This window comes from Homo sapiens, chromosome 2, assembly GCF_000001405.40.
Source record: "Homo sapiens chromosome 2, GRCh38.p14 Primary Assembly".
NCBI classification, from domain to species: Eukaryota; Metazoa; Chordata; class Mammalia; order Primates; family Hominidae; genus Homo; species Homo sapiens.
In genome coordinates this window covers 825,777-847,273 of record NC_000002.12, presented here as the reverse complement: position 1 = coordinate 847,273, position 21,497 = coordinate 825,777, and the positions used below count along the sequence as shown (strand labels likewise).

The following is a 21,497-nucleotide window of genomic DNA, read 5'->3' as shown; positions in this document are numbered from 1 at the left end:
TGTGTGCAGTAGACTGAGCCCCAGAGCCTCGATGTGCAGTAGGCTGAGCCCCAGAGCCTCAGTGTGCAGTAGGCTGAGCCCCAGAGCCTCAGTGTGCAGTAGACTGAGCCCTAGAGCCTCGGTGTGCAGTAGGCTGAGCCCTAGAGCCTCGGTGTGCAGTAGGCTGAGCCCTAGAGCCTCGGTGTGCAGTAGGCTGAGCCCCAGAGCCTCGGTGTGCAGTAGGCTGAGCCCCAGAGCCTCGGTGTGCAGTAGGCTGAGCCCCAGAGCCTCGGTGTGCAGTAGGCTGAGCCCCAGAGCCTCGGTGTGCAGTAGACTGAGCCCCAGAGCTGCTGTGTGCAGTAGACTGAGCCCCAGAGCTGCTGTATGCAGTAGACTGAGCCCCAGAGCCTCGATGTGCAGTAGACTGAGCCCCAGAGCCTCGATGTGCAGTAGACTGAGCCCCAGAGCCTCGGTGTGCAGTAGGCTGAGCCCCAGAGCCTCGGTGTGCAGTAGGCTGAGCCCCAGAGCCTCGGTGTGCAGTAGGCTGAGCCCCAGAGCCTCGGTGTGCAGTAGGCTGAGCCCCAGAGCCTCGGTGTGCAGTAGGCTGAGCCCCAGAGCCTCGGTGTGCAGTAGGCTGAGCCCCAGAGCCTCGGTGTGCAGTAGGCTGAGCCCCAGAGCCTCGGTGTGCAGTAGGCTGAGCCCCAGAGCCTCGGTGTGCAGTAGGCTGAGCCCCAGAGCCTTGGTGTGCAGTAGGCTGAGCCCTAGAGCCTCGGTGTGCAGTAGGCTGAGCCCTAGAGCCTCGGTGTGCAGTAGGCTGAGCCCCTGAGCTTCTGTGTGCAGTAGGCTGAGCCCTAGAGCCTCGGTGTGCAGTAGGCTGAGCCCCAGAGCTTCTGTGTGCAGTAGGCTGAGCCCTAGAGCCTCAGTGTGCAGTAGGCTGAGCCCTAGAGCCTCTGTGTGCAGTAGACTGAGGTGTCCTTTCCTTCTGGTTTCAGATATTCCACCCGCTCTCCACGCAGCAACCCTGGCATAGAGCCACTGCTGGAGGATGGGAAAACACAAAACGTTGCACAGACCTGTGGTCTGAACCACCAGGCTTGCTCCAGGGTGCACCAGGATAGACTCTCAGGGCATTTGTCAAACCCTGAGACTATCACAGGGAGAGGAGAGGCTACAGAACTAAGTCCAACCTCAGAAAAGCAGGAAACAAGATTCTTAGTGAAAACCCTAGTCATGAAGAGAAAAAGAGATGGATGGAGCTTGACCTAAACTGCAGCCCCGTCTCGACCCAGCACTGCTCTGTTGACGTGAGGGCCATCGGTGTCCCACTGTGTCTTCAGAGCAGAGCAAAGGGCAGGCCTCTGCTGGGTGAACCAGTCTTCTGGTACCTCTATGCTTTTTTCATATGTAATGTTATCAATGTATCCAAAATTACTAGTCACACCAGTACACAGGATGCAAGACTTATTATTTGATGAATTGTAAGAAAACGCATAGATAGCAGAAGCTGCCATGCAGATGGGATTGTCAGATTCAGGAAATAAAAACACTGGACAGCCAGTGAGATTTATTTCCGTCTATGCATGTATGCATTGAGACAACAGATGAGACTGCAGATCATTCATCTAATAATTTAGAGCATAGAAGTTTCACACATCTGTTTGTAATGACATTTCTCAATAATTTGGTTTGCTTTAAGTTTCTTGTGTTGAAGAATTTGCTTATATAATTCTTTGCAGTGATAGTCTGTGTTGCCTTATCTTGGAACATACCTGCTATAGTGGTCACTACAATATGTTTTGCTCCTTGGCTCATGGAACACTCATTACTGAGAAAGCATGGTCAGCATTAGCATGTGAGCCAGTGTGCAGAAGATGAACTGGAATGAAGCCCACCAGGCTGAGAACCACTCTTCAAAACGGATGTGCTGAAGCACACAGTACCACCTTTCACGGCATCATATTTCCCTCGTTCTTTTTTCAGGATTATATACGTCTTTTGATCAAAAACATAAAAAGAATCCACTGACAAAAAAGATAAATGTTATCAATTTTTATTTCCTTCTTCAGCATTACACCTGTTGGTTTTACTCAAGGCCACACTGGTAGCATGGCTGGTAACATCTGTGTGAAGGAACTGGATTATTTAAGTGTGAAATTCATCCCAAAAATCCATCCCAAAAGACAGTCCTGGCCAATCCTTAATAGTCACCCACCTCAAGTCAGAATTTCATTTCCTGTTGGTAAATAATGTCATCGCATTTAAGAACAGCCTTGATGCCTAAAGGAATGCATTTCCCATTGATTATCTCCTCAACACTTTCAGCAAGTTCCTTCCAGCAGCAGAGAACTTCAGCAACACTGCTGGCTTCCTTCTTTCAACTTGCATAATCTGATTGCTCAAGCACTGATGAAAAATATGAAGAAGAAGTAAGTAGGCTTCGCTCAAAGGACTATTTTAAAAGTCAACAAGAATATCTTGGGGCTATTGTTCGGAATTAACATGATTTTAGTGCTGCAGATAAACTGAAGATGCTGTCAGCTGTGCTCTTTAAGGAGACTCATTGGGTTTTTCAATGCAGAAGAATTGAAGAACACTGAATGCCAAAAATTCTATAAAAATCCATTAATCACTCAGTTCAGATCGTGTCAATGCTGCAATAAGAAGACAATTGCTTCCGTGTCTGTAGCAAAGGGATCAGCTATCGTTTTCACAGTGTCGTGGTCTTCGGGCCGGGGAGCCCCACTTCCCACAGCGCTGTGCTTCACTTCAGCCTTGAATAAACGTCGTCTGCACCTTTACGCATGCATCCATCAAAATCTGTATTTGTGTTATTTCTGCCAAAAGCAATACAACTTTTCTCATTGACTCCTAACTCATCAATAGAGAATCTCTGAGAAAATTACGATTGTTTCTGAAATCTCATCTGGAAGAAATGTTACTCTCAATCCTCTTGTAAATAAGCCTTTTTCATGAGAGGAATGTTATACCTATGAAGGGAAAATCCTGTGTGCATTGTGGTTTTGGAGCAAGGACACTCCTGGCAGGAACCTTTGTGTGTGGTGGCTGGAGCTGAATGGCTGGTCATGACAGAGTGTGGATGGCACCTTAACTCCTGCTGCAATTAAGATCCCTTCATCTGAACTCCTCTTGATAAGAAATAGTTATTTTATCACTCTTCCTGACACTAGTTGAAGAAAGAATACTTTTCTTACACTTAGTGGCTATTGTGTGCTGGTTCACAGGCACTTTCACCATTTCTTTGCTGTTAAGTGAACAATTGTGTACTGAACAAAAACGATGACAAAATACAGAATTTCAGAAGAGATTTGGACTCCATAAAATAGTATAGAATGGACATTCTAGAAGTGCAGATTAGATCTAAGATGAAGAACCCAATGGTTGGCCTTAATAACTTGTTGAACACAGAAAGGGACAGGACTAATAAGCCGGAAGACAGATCAATAGAAGATATCCATGTTGAAGCATGGAGAGGAATTTGGAGAAAAACGTACACGTTCCATGAAAAACCCAAATTCCCAAAGCTGACAAAATAATACTGAAAAAATACAAATAGCTTGATTTATACTAGAACCTGACATGGGTACACAGCATGAAAATACAGATCAATCACTTCTATGAACACATCTGAAAACTTCCTACACACTAGCTAATCAAATCCACTGGGACAGGTAATACATCAAGATGGCATGTTTATTCCATAAATACAAAATTCCAAGGTTTCAAAGGGCCTTTGACCTTTGAAAAGCCGATCAGGGCAAATCCACATAGTATTAATAACATAGTCATATAACCTTCTCCATAGGTCCAAAATAGCCTTTGATTATTCATAAAACTCCAGTGAGGTTGTAGAAAACTCCAGAAAGGTTGTAGAAGTTTCTTAATCTGAAAAAGAGGCTCTGCAGTAACCCCCACAGCACTCATGGTAGTTCCTGGGGGACACCAGTAACCCCCACAGCACACATCGTAGTTCCTGGGGGACTGGGGGACGCCGCCCATTTTCCCAGCAGCTTCCTTCGGAGCAGCCCTTCCCTGGGGACTATGGATGAAAAGCGCTCAAGGACAGGCACTGCCCAGGGGTGTTTCCTGCCTCATGGACCGATTTGCAAAGGAATTTAAGGCTTGGATAGGGAAAACATTATTTTCACCAGTGTTTAATGCAAAACAAATTTTATAATAGAAATACTTCATAAAATATATAAATATTCAAATATTTCCATGTGCATATCATAGACATCTGATGAAGACTTAAACTTAGCAACTTGTTTTTAAAAAATAAATGTCCCAAAGGTCTTTGAAATGTTCATACCTTTAAATTCACTAATTCTACTTCTAAAAATTACCATAAAATCCATACAAGTATAAATATTAATACACCAAGATCTTTAAATCATGTTATTATTTGAATACTAAAATACTGGGAAAAATACATTAAATATAAATTATGGCATGATGAAATGTTGATCTGTGGCTGTCAAATAAAAAACAAATCCTGACTTAGGTAAGGGGAGACTTCATTTGAGAAGGCCACTGTAGCAGGACGGCAAGCCACTGCTACGGAGAAAGTTTCCACCCCAGGAACCCGGGCGTCTCCAAGGCCAGGCGGTGAAGGCTGTTGTTGTGTAGGGAGGTGTGAACAGGGCTGGGAGCGCCGAGGGAGTGGGAGGAAAAGCACCTGGTGTTTCCTGAGTGGCCCTCTCCTCCTGCCAATGGCTCAAGCTGAGTCCTCACTCTCTGTCTGTCTCCCTTTCCATTTCTGCCATAGTGTGGGTGCTGGTAAGGCAGGCTTGATCATTTAATCAGAAAGATTGTACACCCTGCACAGCTGGACCCCAAAAGTGGGGTCAAGGGCAAGAAGCCCTGCCAGGCTTCCCTGATCCGGAGTCCACTGCGCCTTGCAGGAGCAGCGCGCTCCCACCCACGGCCCTGCTCAGGGTTCTGCAGGACGCACCAGCCATGTCACATACTGAGAGGACAGGCTGTGTGCACCCATGTGTGCCAACTTCTCAGAGACAAGGAGCATCTGACAGAAGCCAAAGATCTCACGTTTGCTCTCCCAACGTTTCATCAGTGTGTGCGAATGTTATTTTGAAAGTTCATTGAATACATGTGACTAAAGCAGATTTCACCAATTAAACCACTTTCTTATGTAGTCATTTTATTTAACGTTTCCAATTAACTTACTCATTTTAATTAATTTTATTTAATTTTTTAAATAAAAACTATAAGCAGAAAATAGTCCAAAATTAGTTTCATATATAAATGACAAAAATACACAAATTTTTAACATACAAATTTCATTTTAGTCTTAAAATACTTTTTAAAATTGAAACTATGGCTTTCATTGATTTCATTTTATGTGTGTATGGTCCATTACCACCAAGCCACTTAGGAAGAGTGAAATCAAAGATGTTTTGGTTCTTAAGAACTAACACAATTGCAATCACTATGAATATCATTATCCTTTTTCATATTAACAACTCATGAAATTGTTCACGGTATGTTGAGTGTGGCTTACCATGTTCCATATTTTTGTCTAAAATGAAAGCTATTTAATGTAGTTCAATAAAGATACTTTGCATTTAATTGTAGGGATTATGACACTGAAAAATATGATGTTGAATTACTTCCCTTTCTATGCCCTGCTGCTGCATAAAACATATACATTAATTTTCTTCTATATTAGTTTTAATAATTTATTTTGAATTTAAAAATAAGACAGTTTCATAAGCATTAAAAATATATGTAAATTCCTGTATTATTAGTGTAATTGCTGAAGTTGTTTTGCAGGTAGAATAGTTGGGGTGTTCATAAAAGGTAGATTTTCATATCCTTTGATTTGGAATGGAAAGTTATCATGAAGTATTGGAAAAATTACCCCAGACTGTGAAAGGTAGAATTTAAAAAAATAATTAAACATGTATTTCTTTTTGGCATTGGTTCAGCAGATATTTAATAGTAAAAATCTAGCAGGGTAGAGGCCATAGTCATGTTGACCACTATTCATTAATGTCCTCCCAGTGAGATGACGTCATTCTAATAGACAGAGGCAGCGATTCTTTGGGAAAATCAAAGGGCGAGTAGCGGAGAGACTGACGCTTACTCTCCCTACACCAATGTGCCCTTTGCTCCTCTGACCTCCCTCATTCACCAACTTCATGGGGAACCTCTTGGGGATTTGGAACCAGACCTGGTGTGTCCCCAGCCACCACCCTGCATGGCTCTTCCCTCCTGCAGGTAGTGGAGAGGGACCCGCAGCTTCTTGGACTATTCTCATCCACCGCAGGCTCTGCACTAACCCTGGATTTCTGTGTCACTTCTTGACATTCCTGTGGGATAGAGGAGCAAAGACAGAGGAGAGTTAGGGAAACAGGCAGGCAGGTATTCTCAGATATGAAGGAGTAGGTTCGTGAATCATGTCACGATGACCGCAGTGGGGGTGTGCGCACTCCATGTGGCATGCAAGATGATCTTCGGAATGTTGGATTGATACATTGCACCTTTATCTGTATTTATTTTAGCTTGTTAAACAGGAAATAAGTTTATTCACATTTGATAAACACATTTACAGACCCTTTTTTTTTTTTTTTTTTTTTTTTAACTTTAAGTTCCAGGATACATGTGCAGAATGTGCAGGTTTGTTACATAGGTATACATGTGCCATGGTGGTCTGCTGCACCTATTGACTCATCCTCTAAGTTCCCTCTCCTCACCTCCTACCCTCCAACAGGACCCTCCCTGTGTCCATGTGTTCTCATTGTTCAACTCCCACTTATGAGTGAGAACATGAGTGTTTGGTTTTCTTTTCCTGTGTTAGTTTGCTGAGGATGATGGTTTCCAGCTTCATCCATGTCCCTGCAAAGAACATGATCTCCTTTCTTTTTATGGCTGCATAGTATTCCATGGTGTATATGTACCACATTTTCTTTATACAGTTTATCACTAATGGGCATTTGGGTTGGTTCCATGTCTTTGCTATTGTGAATAGTGCTGCAATAAACATATGTGTGCATGTGTCTTTATAGTGGAATGATTTATTATCCTTTGGGTATATACTCAGTAATGGGATCGCTGGGTTAAATGATATTTCTAGTTCTAGATCCTTGAGGAATCACCATACTGTCTTCTACAGTGGTTGAACTAATTTACATTCCCACCAACAGTGTAAAAGTGTTCCCATCTCTCCACAGCCTCACCAGCATCTATTGTTTCTTGACTTTTTAATAATCTCCATTCTGACTGGCATGAGATCGTATCTCTTTGTGGTTTTGATTTGCATTTCTCTTATGATCAGTGATGTTGAGCATTTTTCTCAGATGTTTTTGGCCACATAAATGTCTTCTTTTGAGAAGTGTCTGTTCATATCATTTGCCCACTTTTTGATGGGGTTGTGTTTTTTTGTTGTTGTACATTTGTTTAAGTTCCTTGCAGATTCTGGATATTAGACCTTTGTCAAATGTGTAGATTGCAAAACTTGTCTCCCATTCTGTAGGTTGTCTGTTCACTCTGATGATAGTTTCTTTTGCTATGCAGAAGCTCTTTAGCTTAATTGGATCCCATTTGTCAATCTTGGCTTTTGTTGCAATGGCTTTTGGCATTTTTGTCATGAAGTCTTTGCCCATGCCTGTGTCCTGAATGGTATTGCATAGGTGTTTTTCTAGGGTTTTTATGGTTTTGAGTTTTACATTTAAGTTTTTAATTCATCTTAATTTTTGTATATGGTGTAAGAAAGGGGTCCAGTCTCAGTTTTCTGCATATGGCTGGCCAGTTTTCCCAGCACCATTTATTGAATAGAAGATCATTTCCCCATTGCTGTTTTTGTCAGGTTTGTCAAAGATCAGATGGTTGTAGACATGTGGTGTTATTTCTGAGGTCTCTGTTCTGTTCCATTGGTCTATATGTCTGTTTTCGTACAAGTACCATGCTATTTTGGTTACTGTAGCCTTGTAGTGTATTTTGAAGTTAGGTAGCATAATTCCTTCAGCTTTGTTCTTTTTGGTTAGAATTGTCTTGGCTATATGGTCTCTTTGGTTCCATATGAAATTTAAAGTAGTCTTTTCTAATTCTGTGAAGAATGTCAATGGTAGTTTGATGGGGATAGCATTGAATCTATAAATTACTTTGGGCAGTATGGCCATTTTCATGATATTGATTCTTCCCATCCAGGAGGATGGAATGTTTTTCCATCTGTTTGTGTTCTCTCTCATTTCTTTGAGCTGTGGTTTGTAGTTCTCCTTGAAGAGGTCCTTCACATCCCTTGTTAGCTGTATTCTTAGGTATTTTACTCTCTTTGTAGAAATTGTGAATGGGAGTCCATTTATGACTTGGCTCTCTGCTTGTCTGTTGTTGGTGTAAGGGAATGCTTGTGATTTTTTGCACCTTGATTTTGTATCCTGAGACTGTTGACGTTGCTTATCAGCTTAAGGCTAAGATGATGGGGTTTTCTAATTATAGACTCATGTCATCAGCAAACAGAGGCAATTTGACTTCCTCTCTTCATATTCAAATACACTTTATTTCTTTCCTTGCCTGATTGCCCTGGCCAGAACTTCCAATACTATGTTGAATAGGAGTGGTGAGAAAGGGTATCACTGTCTTGTACTCGTTTTCAAAGGGAATGCTTCCAGCTTTTGCCCATTCGATAAGATGTTGGCTGTGGGTTTTTCATAAATAACTCATTATTTTGAGATATATTCTATCAGTTAATACCTAGTTTATTGAGAGTTTTTGCCATGAAGGGATGTTGAATCTTGTTAAAGGTATTTTCTGCATCTATTGAGATAATCATGTGGTTTTTGTTTCTGTTTCTATTTATGTGATGGATTACATTCATTGATTTACATATGTTGAACAGCCTTGCATCCAGGGATGAAGCCAACTTGATCGTGGTGGATAAGATTTTTGATGTGCTGCTGGATTCAGTTTGCCAGTATTCTTTTGAGGATTTTCACATCGATGTTCATCAGAGATATTGGCCTGAAGTTTTCTTTTTTTGTTGTGTCTCTTGCCGGTTTTGGTATCACGTTGATGCTGGCTTCATAAAATGAGTTAGGGAGGACTTCCTCCTTTTAATTGTTTGGAATAGTTTCAGAAGGACGGTACCAGCTCCTGTTTGTACCTCTCATAGAGCTCGGTTGTGAATTCATCTGGCCCTAGGCTTTTTTTGGCTGGTAGGCTATTAATTACTGCCTCAATTTCAGAACTTGTTATTGGTCTATTCAAGGATTTGACTTCTTCCTGGTTTACTCTTGGGAGGGTGTATGTGTCCAAGAATTTATTCATTTCTTCTAGATTTTCTAGTTTATTTGCATAGAGCTGTTTATAGTATTCTCTGATGGTAGTTTGTATTTCTGTGGGGTCAGTGGTGATACCCCCTGTATCATTTTTTATTGTGTACAGACTATTTTTTATTAACCTATGAAGCAAAGAGGTAATACCTTAGCTGGGGAAAAAAAAAAACTATCCTCAATAGAAAATGACCTTTTTTAGTAAGGATGATGCATTATGGGAACTGTGTAAGAATGACCTTGGTCTAACGGGCTGTTTTGATTGGAATATATATATATATTCATATACATATATATACATATACATACATATGCATATACATATATATGTATACATATATATATATATATATATATATATACACCACATACGGATTTGAAATACAGCGTCTTTCATAGGCAAGCTATTGTAGCAAAAACATGTAAGAAACAGATAAAAATTTTATGGAAGGTGATAGCATTATAGAAGTAATATGTTTTATATTTCTAAAAAGACTTCTAAATAATGACAGCATCCTGTAGTCTTTTACAATAATAAAGCATCTACCATGAGAATCTTCTCTATCTCACATTGATTCACAGTCATCTTGTGGCAAAATAATTAAATTATTGCAACTAAAGATGACCGAGACTTTTGTTGTTGAAAAAATTTAGTATATAAGCTGTCAAGTATTTTTAAATAAACAATCTGCTCCTCAGAATAAAAGTGACATTCTAAAAATGGAGAAAAGAATGAATGTATTCTAAGTAAGTTTACACTTTGGAGAGAGCTTATTAAAAATGAATATTTCTAAGGTTCCAATAACTTTATTGCTAGAAACAATCACGTATGACCTTAATAAAACTTCTGTATCTGCTTCATAAATCATTGAAACCAAATTTTCTCACCCAGTTAGAATCTTTCAAAAAAAGTTGTTGGATAGATTTTGAATTCATTCACTAAAATATGACATAAAAATATAACATATTTTGAAATGTGGTTTATTTGCATAAAAATGGACTGATACAAGGAAAGATAGGAACAATATCAAATTTCAACAAAAACCAGAATTGGTAGTTGATATTGAAAAATAAATATCTTGGTTTTGAAAGTACATCACACACAGCTTCCATGTGGCTCTACACAATTTAAAACTGTATATATGCTTTAACACAACTGCCACAAAGCCAATAGCAAAAACCTGAACATAGAATTAGTACTGACTCATTCTCTCATACCACAAGTTTTGAGCCAATAGCTATCAAATAATTCATCATATTCACTCATTTTTCTCTCATCAAAAGCATCAGCTCTACCAACATTTCAGTAAGAACAAAAAAGCCTTCTACAACAGTCACAAATATAAAATAAAGTATCTTAAACCTATTGTTTATTTCAGTTCTATTTCATAATTTAAAAGTTCTGTTTTTGTGTGTGTTTTATAATGTAGCTGTCGTTTTAGGTGGCAGGTACAGCCCAGAACACACAGGCATGTATTTATAACATCCCTCGTTCCTCACCCGTGAATATAAACATCGCCCCTCAGTTCTAACCTTGTGTGAACTGAGCACTCTCCTTCTTTTCTAAGGTATCAGAAGTTGAAATTGTGGCCATGTAGCTCTCTGGGGGAGCCTGAGGCTGCTGTCACATCACAGATTGGTGAACAGGGTGTCACTGTGGAAAGAAAAGGGGACCCTCATCCTTTTCTCCCCTCAACCTGCTTCCCACACAAGGCTGCATCATCTAATTGGCCTTTGGGAAGGAACAGCTGGGCTTTCTGGATGACAGAATTTATAGAACATTAGAAATCTTACAGACAAGTGTTACCTTATAACTCACTTCAGCGACTCTTGCAATGCATTTTTCCAAGTGCAGATAATACAGGCTGGAGATGCTCCTTGAAGTCACAGGGTACTGCTTTATTGCTGATGTGACCTAACCGTTTTATCCACCAATAGAAAGATTGTTTTCTAGATGTTTTATTTGTTATTTTCCTGGAAAAGAAGCAATGGGCATGGGGACTGGTGTTCCCATTTGCACCCCGGCTGTTCATAGGCACTTGGTGTTGCGGTTTCTAAAAAGAATGCACTGAAGGCCGAGGCGGGCGGATCACGAGGTCAGGAGATCGAGACCATCCTGGCTAACACAGTGAAACCCCGTCTCTACTAAAAAATACAAAAAATTAGCCGGGCGTGGTGGCGGGCACCTGTAGTCCCAGCTACGCGGGAGGCTGAGGCAGGAGAATGGCGTGAACCCGGGAGGCGGAGCTTGCAGTGAGCCGAGATTGCGCCCCTGCACTCCAGCCTGGGCGACAGAGCGAGACTCCGTCTCAAAAAAAAAAAAAAAAAAAAAAAAAAAAAAAAAAAAAGAATGCACTGAGATTGAATTACTGAACCAAAATAGCCTCCAAATTTGGGTTCCAAATTTCCCTTCCTCCCTCTGCCCATAACCATACTTGGAAAGCTTCTGTCTAAGGAGAATTCCGTCCCTTCTGGATGAATGCTTCCGTATAATAACATAATTGTTTTATATCAATGAAAAGAACTTGGCTGTAACATCACACTTAATGGATGAACCAAAAGTAGTTTACTATGGAATGATTCACAGGTATTAATTTTTATTGCATTAAAGTTGTACATTTCCTTTTAAGGAAATTGACCTAACACACTCCTTAATGAGAGAATTTCTGGATGATTCCGGCTGTTCCTGCACAGACACTCACTGTGTTGTCTCAGGTAACACATCCCACACGTGTTATGTATTAGAATTTGTCATTCTCAGATGACTCCGGTAGTTATTTTGTTTATTATTGCGGGGGCAAGAGAACAGAATTAGAAACGATGAGAACAGAATTAGAAATGATGTCAGAGATTCTGGCGAATAAAGGAAGGTTTGCTTAACTTCCTGACTTCTATATTTTTAAGCAGTTCTTTCGCAGTCCTAAATGTTTCTTACGTTCAAGAAGCTACTGCAGGGCTGAAGGGACTTGCTGTGTGTGGTCTGGGGAAAAGCACTGAGGCCAGGGGAGACCTGTAGCCGAGACCCTTGAGTGTCTCCTAAACACTCCCAGGCTCACCCAGAATAAGTGGATGAAAGAATGCATGCAGCAATAAACAGGTAACACAGATTTGCTCTGGTTTGACCACAGTGAGTTTAGATCATGAATGGGAACTGCAAAAACTGTAGAAACAGGCAGCCTGGCTATCTTCGGAATGTGTATTTATCAAGCCTGTTCAGAACTCGTATGGAAACTTTGAGATTCCTCAAGACCACAGGCAAATCAAACTCTTTTTTGGAATATTACAGGTAGAGCTGCAGCAGATTGCATCTGTACTTCTGTAAGGGCTGCTTTGCCAGGAAGGCTGTGGGTGGGATGCCCGGCCTCTCCGGCTGTGGTTGTGAGGGAGGATGTCATCACCTGCCAGCCAGCATGTCCCAACTGCTCACGTTTGATCCGCAGCTCCTATAAGGACACAAAGGCCGTGAGGGCTTCCTCACGAGACACAGACACAGTTAAAGTGCAGGTCCCCAAGAGAGGAGTCAGCCCCAGCGTAAATGTTATTCTGAGAGTTCTCTGAAGGAAGAAGTTGTTATGGCAAGAGAAAACATGAGGAAATGGGGCTGAAGGCAAGGGTGGGGGGCTCCAGGATGGGAGAAGCACCGCCGAGGCAGCTCCTGAATCAGTTGCCATAGGGCTGGGGCTCCCACCCTGTTGGTGTTCCGCCCTGTCCCACATCAGCTCTGGTCTTCACTGACCACCCTTCTCCCTTCTCCCTGTTCTACCCACCCCTCTCTCTTGAAATCTCCCCTCCTTTGGCATCCTCTTTCCTTCCTAGAGTTTCCTGATGGTGGCATCCTGGAGGAGGCTCTGCGTCCCCCTGAGGCCATGTTTTCTTTGGAATAAAATGCGTCCGTCCTCGGGGTGACAACACACGTGTTTTTCAAATAGCTGATTAGGACAGCTTTCAATTCCTCACATACAACATGCTTAAATATTTTTGGACATAAAATGAGAGCCATTCCATCTAGTAACCACCAAGATGTTTTAAAAGGAAAGAGGCCGGGCAGGCACGGTGGCTCACGCCTGTAATCCCAGCACTTTGGGAGGCCAAGGTGGGTGGATCACCTGAGGTCAGGAGTTCAAGACCAGCCTGGCCAACATGGTGAAACCCTGTCTCAACTAAAAATAAATTTTAAAAAAATGAGCTGGATGTCGTTGCAGGCACCTGTAATCCCAGTTACTTTGGGAGGCTGAGGCAGGAGAATCACTTGAACCTGAGAGACAGAGGTTGCAGTGAGCCGAGATTGCACCACTGCACTCCAGCCTGGGTGACAGAGTGAGACTCGGTCAAAAACAAAGCAAAACAAAACAAACAAAGCAAAGAAAAGAAGGAAAAGCCAGTGAGGATGAAAAATGCTTATGAACAAAATATCTTACAATTTAGTACGTGAGATAAGGGCAACAAGGAAACCTTTGAGAGCTAAACCTACTTGGAGGTTTGAGAGAAGCTCTGGGTTGTAAGCTGGGTGAAGAATCTGTGAAGTGAGAAACAGCTCAGAGAGGACTTAGATGCCAGACGGCAAATCAAAGTGGTGAGACCTGCCCCGTCATTCTTCCTTCAGGGCCTTCACGGTTCTGTTCCCCATCACTCTGAACCACAGGACTTCCCCATAAGAATGTCAAGGTTATTGGTTTAACCACGAACCTGTAAAAGTGTTCTGTACTTGCAGATTGGTAGTCATGGCAGTGTTGCATTCAGTAGACTTGAAAGAAGTAGACAAGAGTTTTTGGCTCTGTGTATGAAAAGCACAGAGACAAAAACATGAGAATTTGGAATCCAGACTAGACATGGTCAGTGGATCTCCCCTCTACCACGAAAAAGAAGCAGGAGTGAGATGCTATGAATGACTTAATGCAAAACCATAGTCATGGTGAGTCCTGGTCTCAAGCGAGTTGTCTTCTGGGTTTGCATTTCTTCCTTATGTACCAAAATTAAATCATAAATTGATGTATTAGTCCATTTTCTTACTACTATAAAGAACTGCCTGAGACTGGATAATTTATAAAGGAAAGAAGTTTAGTTGACTCACAGTTCAGCATGACTTGGGAGGCCTCAGGAAACTTAGTCGTGGGGGAAAATGAAGGGGAAGCAGGCACCTTATTCTCAGGGCAGCAGGAAGAAGTGCTGAGCGAAGGGGGAAGAGCCCCTTACAAAACCATCAGATCTCCTGAGCATTCACTCACTAGCATGAGAACTGTGGGGGAAACCTCCCATTATGGGGATTACAATTCAAGATTGAGATTTGGGTGGGGACACAAAGCCTAACCATATCTGTTGTTTTACATTTAAAAAGTGACTGTAGAAGACAAACACAAGAACTATAATGAGAAAGCAATAGCCAATCTCTTCCTCTAAAGACAGGAAAACAGTATTTTGAAATGAGTCCAAACACAATTAATGAGGTGACACATTAAAGAAAAAAACTAAGAAAAAAGGTCCAATAAAGCATATAAGGAATGTTGGCTGGCTCAGTGGCTCACAACTGTAATCCCAGCACTTTGGGAGGCCAAGGTGAACAGATCACTTGAGGTCAGGAGTTCAAGACCATCCTGGCCAACATGAAGACACCCCATTGACTATAATAAAAGCCATGGTTGAAAATAAAAGCTTGGGACCCTGTCTCTACCCAAAATAGAAAAAATAGCTGGGCATGGTGATGCATGCCTATAATTCCAGCTACTTGGAGGGCTGAGGTGGAGGAATTATGGGAGACGGAGATTGTAGTGAGCCGAGATTGTGCCACTGCACTCCAGCCTGGGTGACACAGTGGGTCTCCATCTCAGAAAAAAAAAAAAAAAGCATATAGTAATGTTTGTAAGAATTTTTGGCATCTATTTCAAGCATGTTTCATAAGACTTTATTTTAAAAAGTCACTGTATGAAGAATTTTAAAACAGAGCAGTGATCTCTCTATGATAAGTCAAAGGTATGTAATACATTTTCTAATGGATCATAAAGTAGATTGTTGCAGACATTTTAAATTTATTTTTAATGAATTTCCATGTTCATTGGGTCACAGAGATTCTGGTGATGAGGGTCAGAACAAGCTCGTCCTCTGGAAGGTGCTAGACAGGGTGGTGGTCAGTGAAAGAACGTGGGTTGCGGGAAGTTCCTCTTGGCTCCTGTTCAGTGTTGGCTGCTGATCTAAAAATACTCTTGACTGTGAATGGGAAAGTCATTCTACAAAAGGGTTTTGCTAAGTTTCCACTAAAAGTAAACATCCCGTCTGTGATATGCCAATTTATTTTTATTCCCCTGTAGAATCATATCCATTTGTGTAATTAAGGTCAAGTGAAAGGACTTTATGAGGGCTCAGACGCCTGCAGTGCTAGGCATAAAAATGTCACAGAATTCATGCAGGTATTTGGAAAAGATGTTGAACGCGACCACACGCGAAGCCCTGGGTTTCATCCTGGGGGGTGGTATGGAAGCCAGGTGAGCCTCCAATCTCACAGGCAGGTGCCAGGGGGGCGCCCACCAGAGGATCAGTAACTCAGTGTGAGGTGGGACGGGCAGGACATGTGCGGAGTCCCACACAAGGGAGAAGCCTGCTGCGCAGCGAACGGCATAGGAAGGCCTAAGCAGGGGTCTTGAGGATTGGGATGGGCAGGAGAGGGCTGTTGGGACAATGGAGAACAGAGGGTGAGGGTGGAGGTTGCAGCTCCCAGGTCCTCACCAGAAAGAGACGAGGGGTATGGTCAGAGTGGGAAAGTGGACACCCCGGGCTGGGCTGAGGAAATGAACTCCATTGGCAGGAGCAGGGACCACCCTGTGTGTCCACAACCAAGTAAGAGAACCATCCACCCTAGAAGGGTGCAGGCCAGCATGTGGGGGAGGTCACGTGGGGAGACTGAGGTAGGGCTTGAGGGGTTGCTGTGGGCTGGATGACAGGGATTCAGGTAGGGCAGCTCGGGATAATGGAAAGGGCCCTGAAATAATCAGCACAGCAGGGAAAGGAAAGGGGGCTTTACAGATGTGAGTGCCTTCAGGGGACAGGGCAAAGGGGGATCCTTCAGCATAACTACCTTCTCAGCAGGTGCTCAGCCCTGGCACTTTCATTGGGATGAAACCCTGTTTACTCTATCCTAATCTTTAAGTTGTTGTGTTTTCTTGTTGCTGTTGAGTGATGCTTTGCAAGGTTTTTTCTCAGTTATATAAAGTCTTTAAGGAATTTTTTTTAATAGAAAAGGAATTACTCTTTTCAAATGCCAGACCCTAAAGGGGCCTGTTGTGATTTGTAGCAGAGGCTTGTTAAAAATAGCAAGACAGAGTTTATTCCAGTTGCTGCCTCAGGGCTGCAAGGCCAAAGTGCGGGCCTGGGCTCAGCCGAACACAGCAAGGACCTCCAGGGACGAAGGGCCAGGAATGCTGAGGGGTCGGGGACATGGGTTCGACTCGGGTAGTCTTGCTAACCTGGGCTCAGCAGCCAAGAACTGGGCCATGGCAGGAGGAGGTGAGGAGGGGCCTGACTGCAGCTAGTGGAGAACGGAGTCCATGTCAGCGTTGGAGGCATTGTGTGGGTAAAGTGACCTCAAAGGAAGTAATCAGAGTTTACCAATTTCAAACAGTGCAAATAAAAATAGACACAAAAATTGGTGGTAAAGTATATTTTCCTTTTCTCTACATAGAAGGAAAATGCATTTGATTATTGCGTTCACTCTGGCTGCGGCACCATGAAAGGAAACTAAGAGCTGGGGACCCCATTTACTCTGCAAAGAGGAGGAATGAAGCTGGAAGACGAGTCGTGCAAGCAGCTGCCTTTCCTTTTGTTCCTAAGCAGAGAACGACAGATAGAAGGTGATGCATCTCCACAAGCAGCTGCTCTATGTCCACTTTGTCTTATGGAAAGTGCAGAGTTGCTGGGCAGGAGGTGGTTGCGCAGTTGACTGTTCTGCCTGTCCTTTCCTCTTGCCGCATGTGGATGACCACACCCTTCCTCTTTCCCCTCCAGCTCCCATTTCCCCTTCAACTATAGAAGCTCTTAGCATCATCTTTGGAGAAAGGCACACACCATGGACTGTTTTTGTGATTCCGTGTTGTTATTTTTCTCCTGAGCATGCGGTTAACATTGGCAAAACAAACTTCTAAACTGATTGAGACCCATCTCAGATACTTTTTGGTTTACAACAGGAATTGGGGTGAAACCCCACCACATTTACACTATGCAGAGCTGGAAAAGGGAGGAAAGATTGAATCTTGCCCAGAGGCTTAGGTCCTGAAGGTTCAATTCTGGATGATCCTTTCAGGTAGATTTCAAGGGGAAAGCAAAAGCATCAAAATGAATCCTTATGAAGAAGCATTTCTAAGCCTGAATCTTGGAGACAAAAATATGATGTTTTCCTCAACAACACAGAGTCAGCAGGAAGAAAGATAAACATTGCTGTCCTGAGCTGGCACGTGACTTATGAGGGTTAGCCATGGTGAATCTGTATGAGTCTGCAGCAACCTCAGTTCTTGTCTCCTCGGAAGAAAGACTTTCATTGAGGGGCATAGGCAGAAGGAGAGACTAAGGCAAGTTTTAGTGGAGGAGAGAAAGCGTATTAAAAAGCCTAGAGTGGGAACAAAAGAAAGGAAAGTCCACTTGGAAGAAGGCAAGTTGGTGGCTTGAGCAAGTCAAGTGTGTGGTTTGACCTTTGACTTGGAGTTGTATCCATTGGCATGCTTTCAGTTGCATCCCTTTCCCCTGATTATTCCCATGCGGTGGGCTGTCCGCATGCACAGTGGCCTGCCAGCCCTTGGGAGGGGCCATGTGCACAGTAGGTTTACTGAAGTTGTACGTCTGCTTGCTTGAGGCGTTCTTCCCATAGTAGCTGAATATTCCTGGAAGGTCATATACCAGTTAAACTCCACCATTTTGCCTTTTAGTGTGCGTGCTTGAGCCTGCTCACCCAGCTCCTGAGATCTTATGGGGAAGCTGCTGATCCAGTTTCAGGTGTTTTCTGTCCATTGGGAAACTGCTGTTCCCTGGTGCCAGCTGTGACCAATTATTTTGGAGAGACTGTTAACCACCTCCTGGCCATCACCTGATAGTTACCTGACATTCCTGGCCAGGGGGGCTCTCACGTCTGCCTGACTTCCTGCTGTAGCATTTCCCCCTCAAGAGTCCAAGACCCCAATTTTGGGGGAAAATGGATTAAGGTCAGTCTTCTGTAACTGCTTCCTGTTGACACACGGGCAGTGGTGGTGGTTCTGTGGGTCTTGGCCTCTTGCTGCTGTCAGGGAAGGCAGATGACTCTTTAGGTTGGTGAAAGCAGTGTCTAGCCAGGTCCAAGGGAGATGGGGCAAGATTTCAACTCTGTTGCTTTACACTGATGGGCAGTCTAAGGGTCCTCTGTAGAAGGATGGCTCTTGAATCTTGAGAGGATGGTATTCCGCTGAGGGTCATCTGGAACTTGATGGCCTGAAGGCAGGAGGAGACATATCAGGTTATTAGATTTAGAAGACATGGACCATGAAGGAGCAAAAGTAGGAGACTAACAAGTGGTCTTCAAAGGGAAAAACCCAGGAGAGCCATTTCTAGGTTCCTTCCCCAGGTTCCTTTTGGAGAACAAGCCAGCCCTGAGAGGCTTGTTCCCACAAACAAGAGGCTGCATTTACAAGTTGTCTGATGTTGTCTTGTACTTTTCCTGATTGATTTACCCAAAAGCAATATTTTTTATTTGAGGCTAAGGAAACTCCTCTCTGAGCTGCTGTGAACATTAGTTAACATTGGTCCTACCTGTTGTGTGTTAGTGTTAGTCCTTAATGATTTGAAGGACTATGGCTGCTAAAGAGTGGATCTGCTCTTGTCAGCCCTTAATGATTTGAAGGACTACGGCTGCTAAAGAGTGGATCTGCTCTTGTTAGCCCTTAATTCCAGTATATGCCCAAAATTAGAATATTGATCCAGATTTTTGCATTACCCATCCCTCTTGTTTCTTCTGAGCTGCAGCCAGACATCATGGTTGGTTGATAGGAGTGAGCAGGATCAGTCTGAATTGCATGGAAAAAAAAACCTCATGAACAACTGATGAGACTGGAATCTAATAACAGGTGTACTACAGTTCTTGAAACATAATTTTTATCTCTATAGTCCTAATTTTTATTAAAATCAAATCATGATAGGACTGATTCATTTGCAAAATAAGCTTTAGTCATATTATACTTGGCCTGATTATTTGCATAAAACATAGCAAGAATAATCATAACCTCTTTTTAAAATTGGCTTTGATAGAACTTTGTTCCGTAAGGAATCTCAGATAAGACTTTTTAAAGCCTTGAGCCCTGCCATGGACTTGTGCCATCAAATACCTGTATTAGCTGCATAAATTCTTCTTCTCTTCAGGTCCCAAGATAACTTGGGTTCCTGGGCCTCTTAGAAAGTAACGTTCTTTACTTACTACAGGTCAGGAACCCTGCACAGGGACTGGGTAGACAAAGTATTAGGCCAGTTTTCCCAACAGGCCTTTATCGGCTCTATAAGTGAACTTTGATTCCTTAAAAGAGTCTGTTTGTGGCCGGGCGCGGTGGCTCACACCTGTAATCCCAGCACTTTGGGAGGCCGAGGTAGGCGGATCACGAAGTCAGGAGATCAACACCATCCTGGCTAACATGGTGAAATCCCGTCTCTACTAAAAAAAAAATACAAAAAAGTAGCCAGATGTGGTGGTGGATGCCTATAGTCCCAGCTGCTCGGGAGGCTGAGGCAGGAGAATGGTGTGAACCCAGGAGGCGGAGCTTGCAGTGAGCCAAGATAGCGCCACTGCACTCTGGCCTGGGCGAAAGAGAGAGACTCCGTCTCAAAAAAAAAAAAAAAAAAAAAGATAATTAGAATGAGACAATTGTCTGTGGATAACAAAAAACCTTAGGGCAGCCATAGTCAAAGACACAATTGACAAGGAAATTTGTCACTTCTGTGGCACACAATTATTTAAAATAATTATAGTTATTACTAATAATGTATACTAAGTCATATTAGAATTATGGAAGTTTCACATGATTTTGGAACACATACCAACAACACATTTATACAAATACAGTTCAAAAAAAAGCCAAATTTTACCTTTGCATTAGTGTACTATTGATGTTAAATCCAATTCTTAATAAAACCTTATGGACAAATCTATTTAATATTAATCAGTTTGACCATAATGAAAGATTTTCATAAACCTTTTATAACCCTTTACAGTTTTCTGTTAAAAAGCAGAGCAATGTTCTAAGAAAACTGTGTTATGCTTTCATTCCTATGTTCAATTTACAGAATAACTGAATAATACCCCTTTAACTTTAGCAATGTGATCACACACAGAATTTCTTTTACAAGACTACTTTTTCACAAACCTTCCACAACTTGCTCAAACTTTTAGCTTTATTCTATCTAACTTAAAACAATCCTTTAACCCTCTAAACTGGGCAAGAAAATACTATTCCCATGACTTATTATAATCTTTTACCAAAAGCACATTTTACTTTCCTTACATGCCTGGCATGTAAAACTGTTTTTCCAGTAGTCTAAAATATATGTTACACTGTTAATTCTTACCAACTTTTACTTTTGGTGAAAAACTATTAAATCTTATACAAATACATAGTATATTTTCCTGATCCCTTGTCTCATTTTCATATTATTTATTTGTATTCTTACTTATGCATTTTTATTAATTATAAAATATTTTAAGCATTCAATAAAGACACTCATGCACTCATCACCAAGATTACTATCTTTTATATTCTTTCACTCTCATGTTTTTGAGGGGATACAAAATCACAGATACAAAAAAATTTCAACATGAAATTCCAGGAATAGTTATTTACCTTATTTACGGTCACCTGACTTGGGACTTTAATTCTGTCTGCAAATCTCCTTCAGGGGGGTGTTGAGATTAGTGTTGACCAGATAGCCCAGGATTGACACTGCTGGGGCTGGGGTGTGGGGCATCTTTTAAATTTTGCCTCCTGCACTCCCTTTAACTCCAGGTTTTAAAAGAGAGTTTTATAAAAACAAGCTTCAGTCCTCACCTCCCTCTGCTAAAAACACATATTGTCATCCCAGTGCCACTATTCTACTTCATATCTCTGAGAACCGAGTCTGTCTTCTCGGGCCACAGCTGTCTGTCTTGTGAAATGGGAATGCTATATACTTTGGAGGGTTACCCACCACAAATTCATTATTTTACATAGATAAATATGAGAA

General features: G+C 42.2%; 1 long non-coding RNA gene across 2 annotated transcripts in view, besides 3 other annotated features; it reads left to right on the top strand.

Moving 5' to 3' along the window:
• LINC01115 (long intergenic non-protein coding RNA 1115) overlaps nucleotides 1–21,497 on the top strand; it is an 88,587-nt gene that overhangs the window by 21,153 nt on the left and 45,937 nt on the right. The gene's annotated exons all lie outside the window — the stretch shown is intronic.
• Nucleotides 15,411–16,312: an enhancer, noted in NCBI's record as "OCT4-NANOG-H3K4me1 hESC enhancer chr2:826933-827834 (GRCh37/hg19 assembly coordinates)". NCBI's record gives its function as "activates a minimal SCP1, AML or CMV promoter by ChIP-STARR-seq in primed H9 embryonic stem cells {active_cell/tissue: H9 hESC(primed)}" and the evidence as "EXISTENCE:reporter gene assay evidence [ECO:0000049][PMID:30033119]".
• Nucleotides 15,984–16,201: a silencer, noted in NCBI's record as "fragment chr2:827044-827261 (GRCh37/hg19 assembly coordinates)". NCBI's record gives its function as "represses an EF-1alpha promoter that drives an FKBP-Casp9 reporter gene in an ReSE screen in HepG2 liver carcinoma cells {active_cell/tissue: HepG2}" and the evidence as "EXISTENCE:reporter gene assay evidence [ECO:0000049][PMID:32094911]".
• Nucleotides 16,313–17,215: an enhancer, noted in NCBI's record as "OCT4-NANOG-H3K4me1 hESC enhancer chr2:826030-826932 (GRCh37/hg19 assembly coordinates)". NCBI's record gives its function as "activates a minimal SCP1, AML or CMV promoter by ChIP-STARR-seq in primed H9 embryonic stem cells {active_cell/tissue: H9 hESC(primed)}" and the evidence as "EXISTENCE:reporter gene assay evidence [ECO:0000049][PMID:30033119]".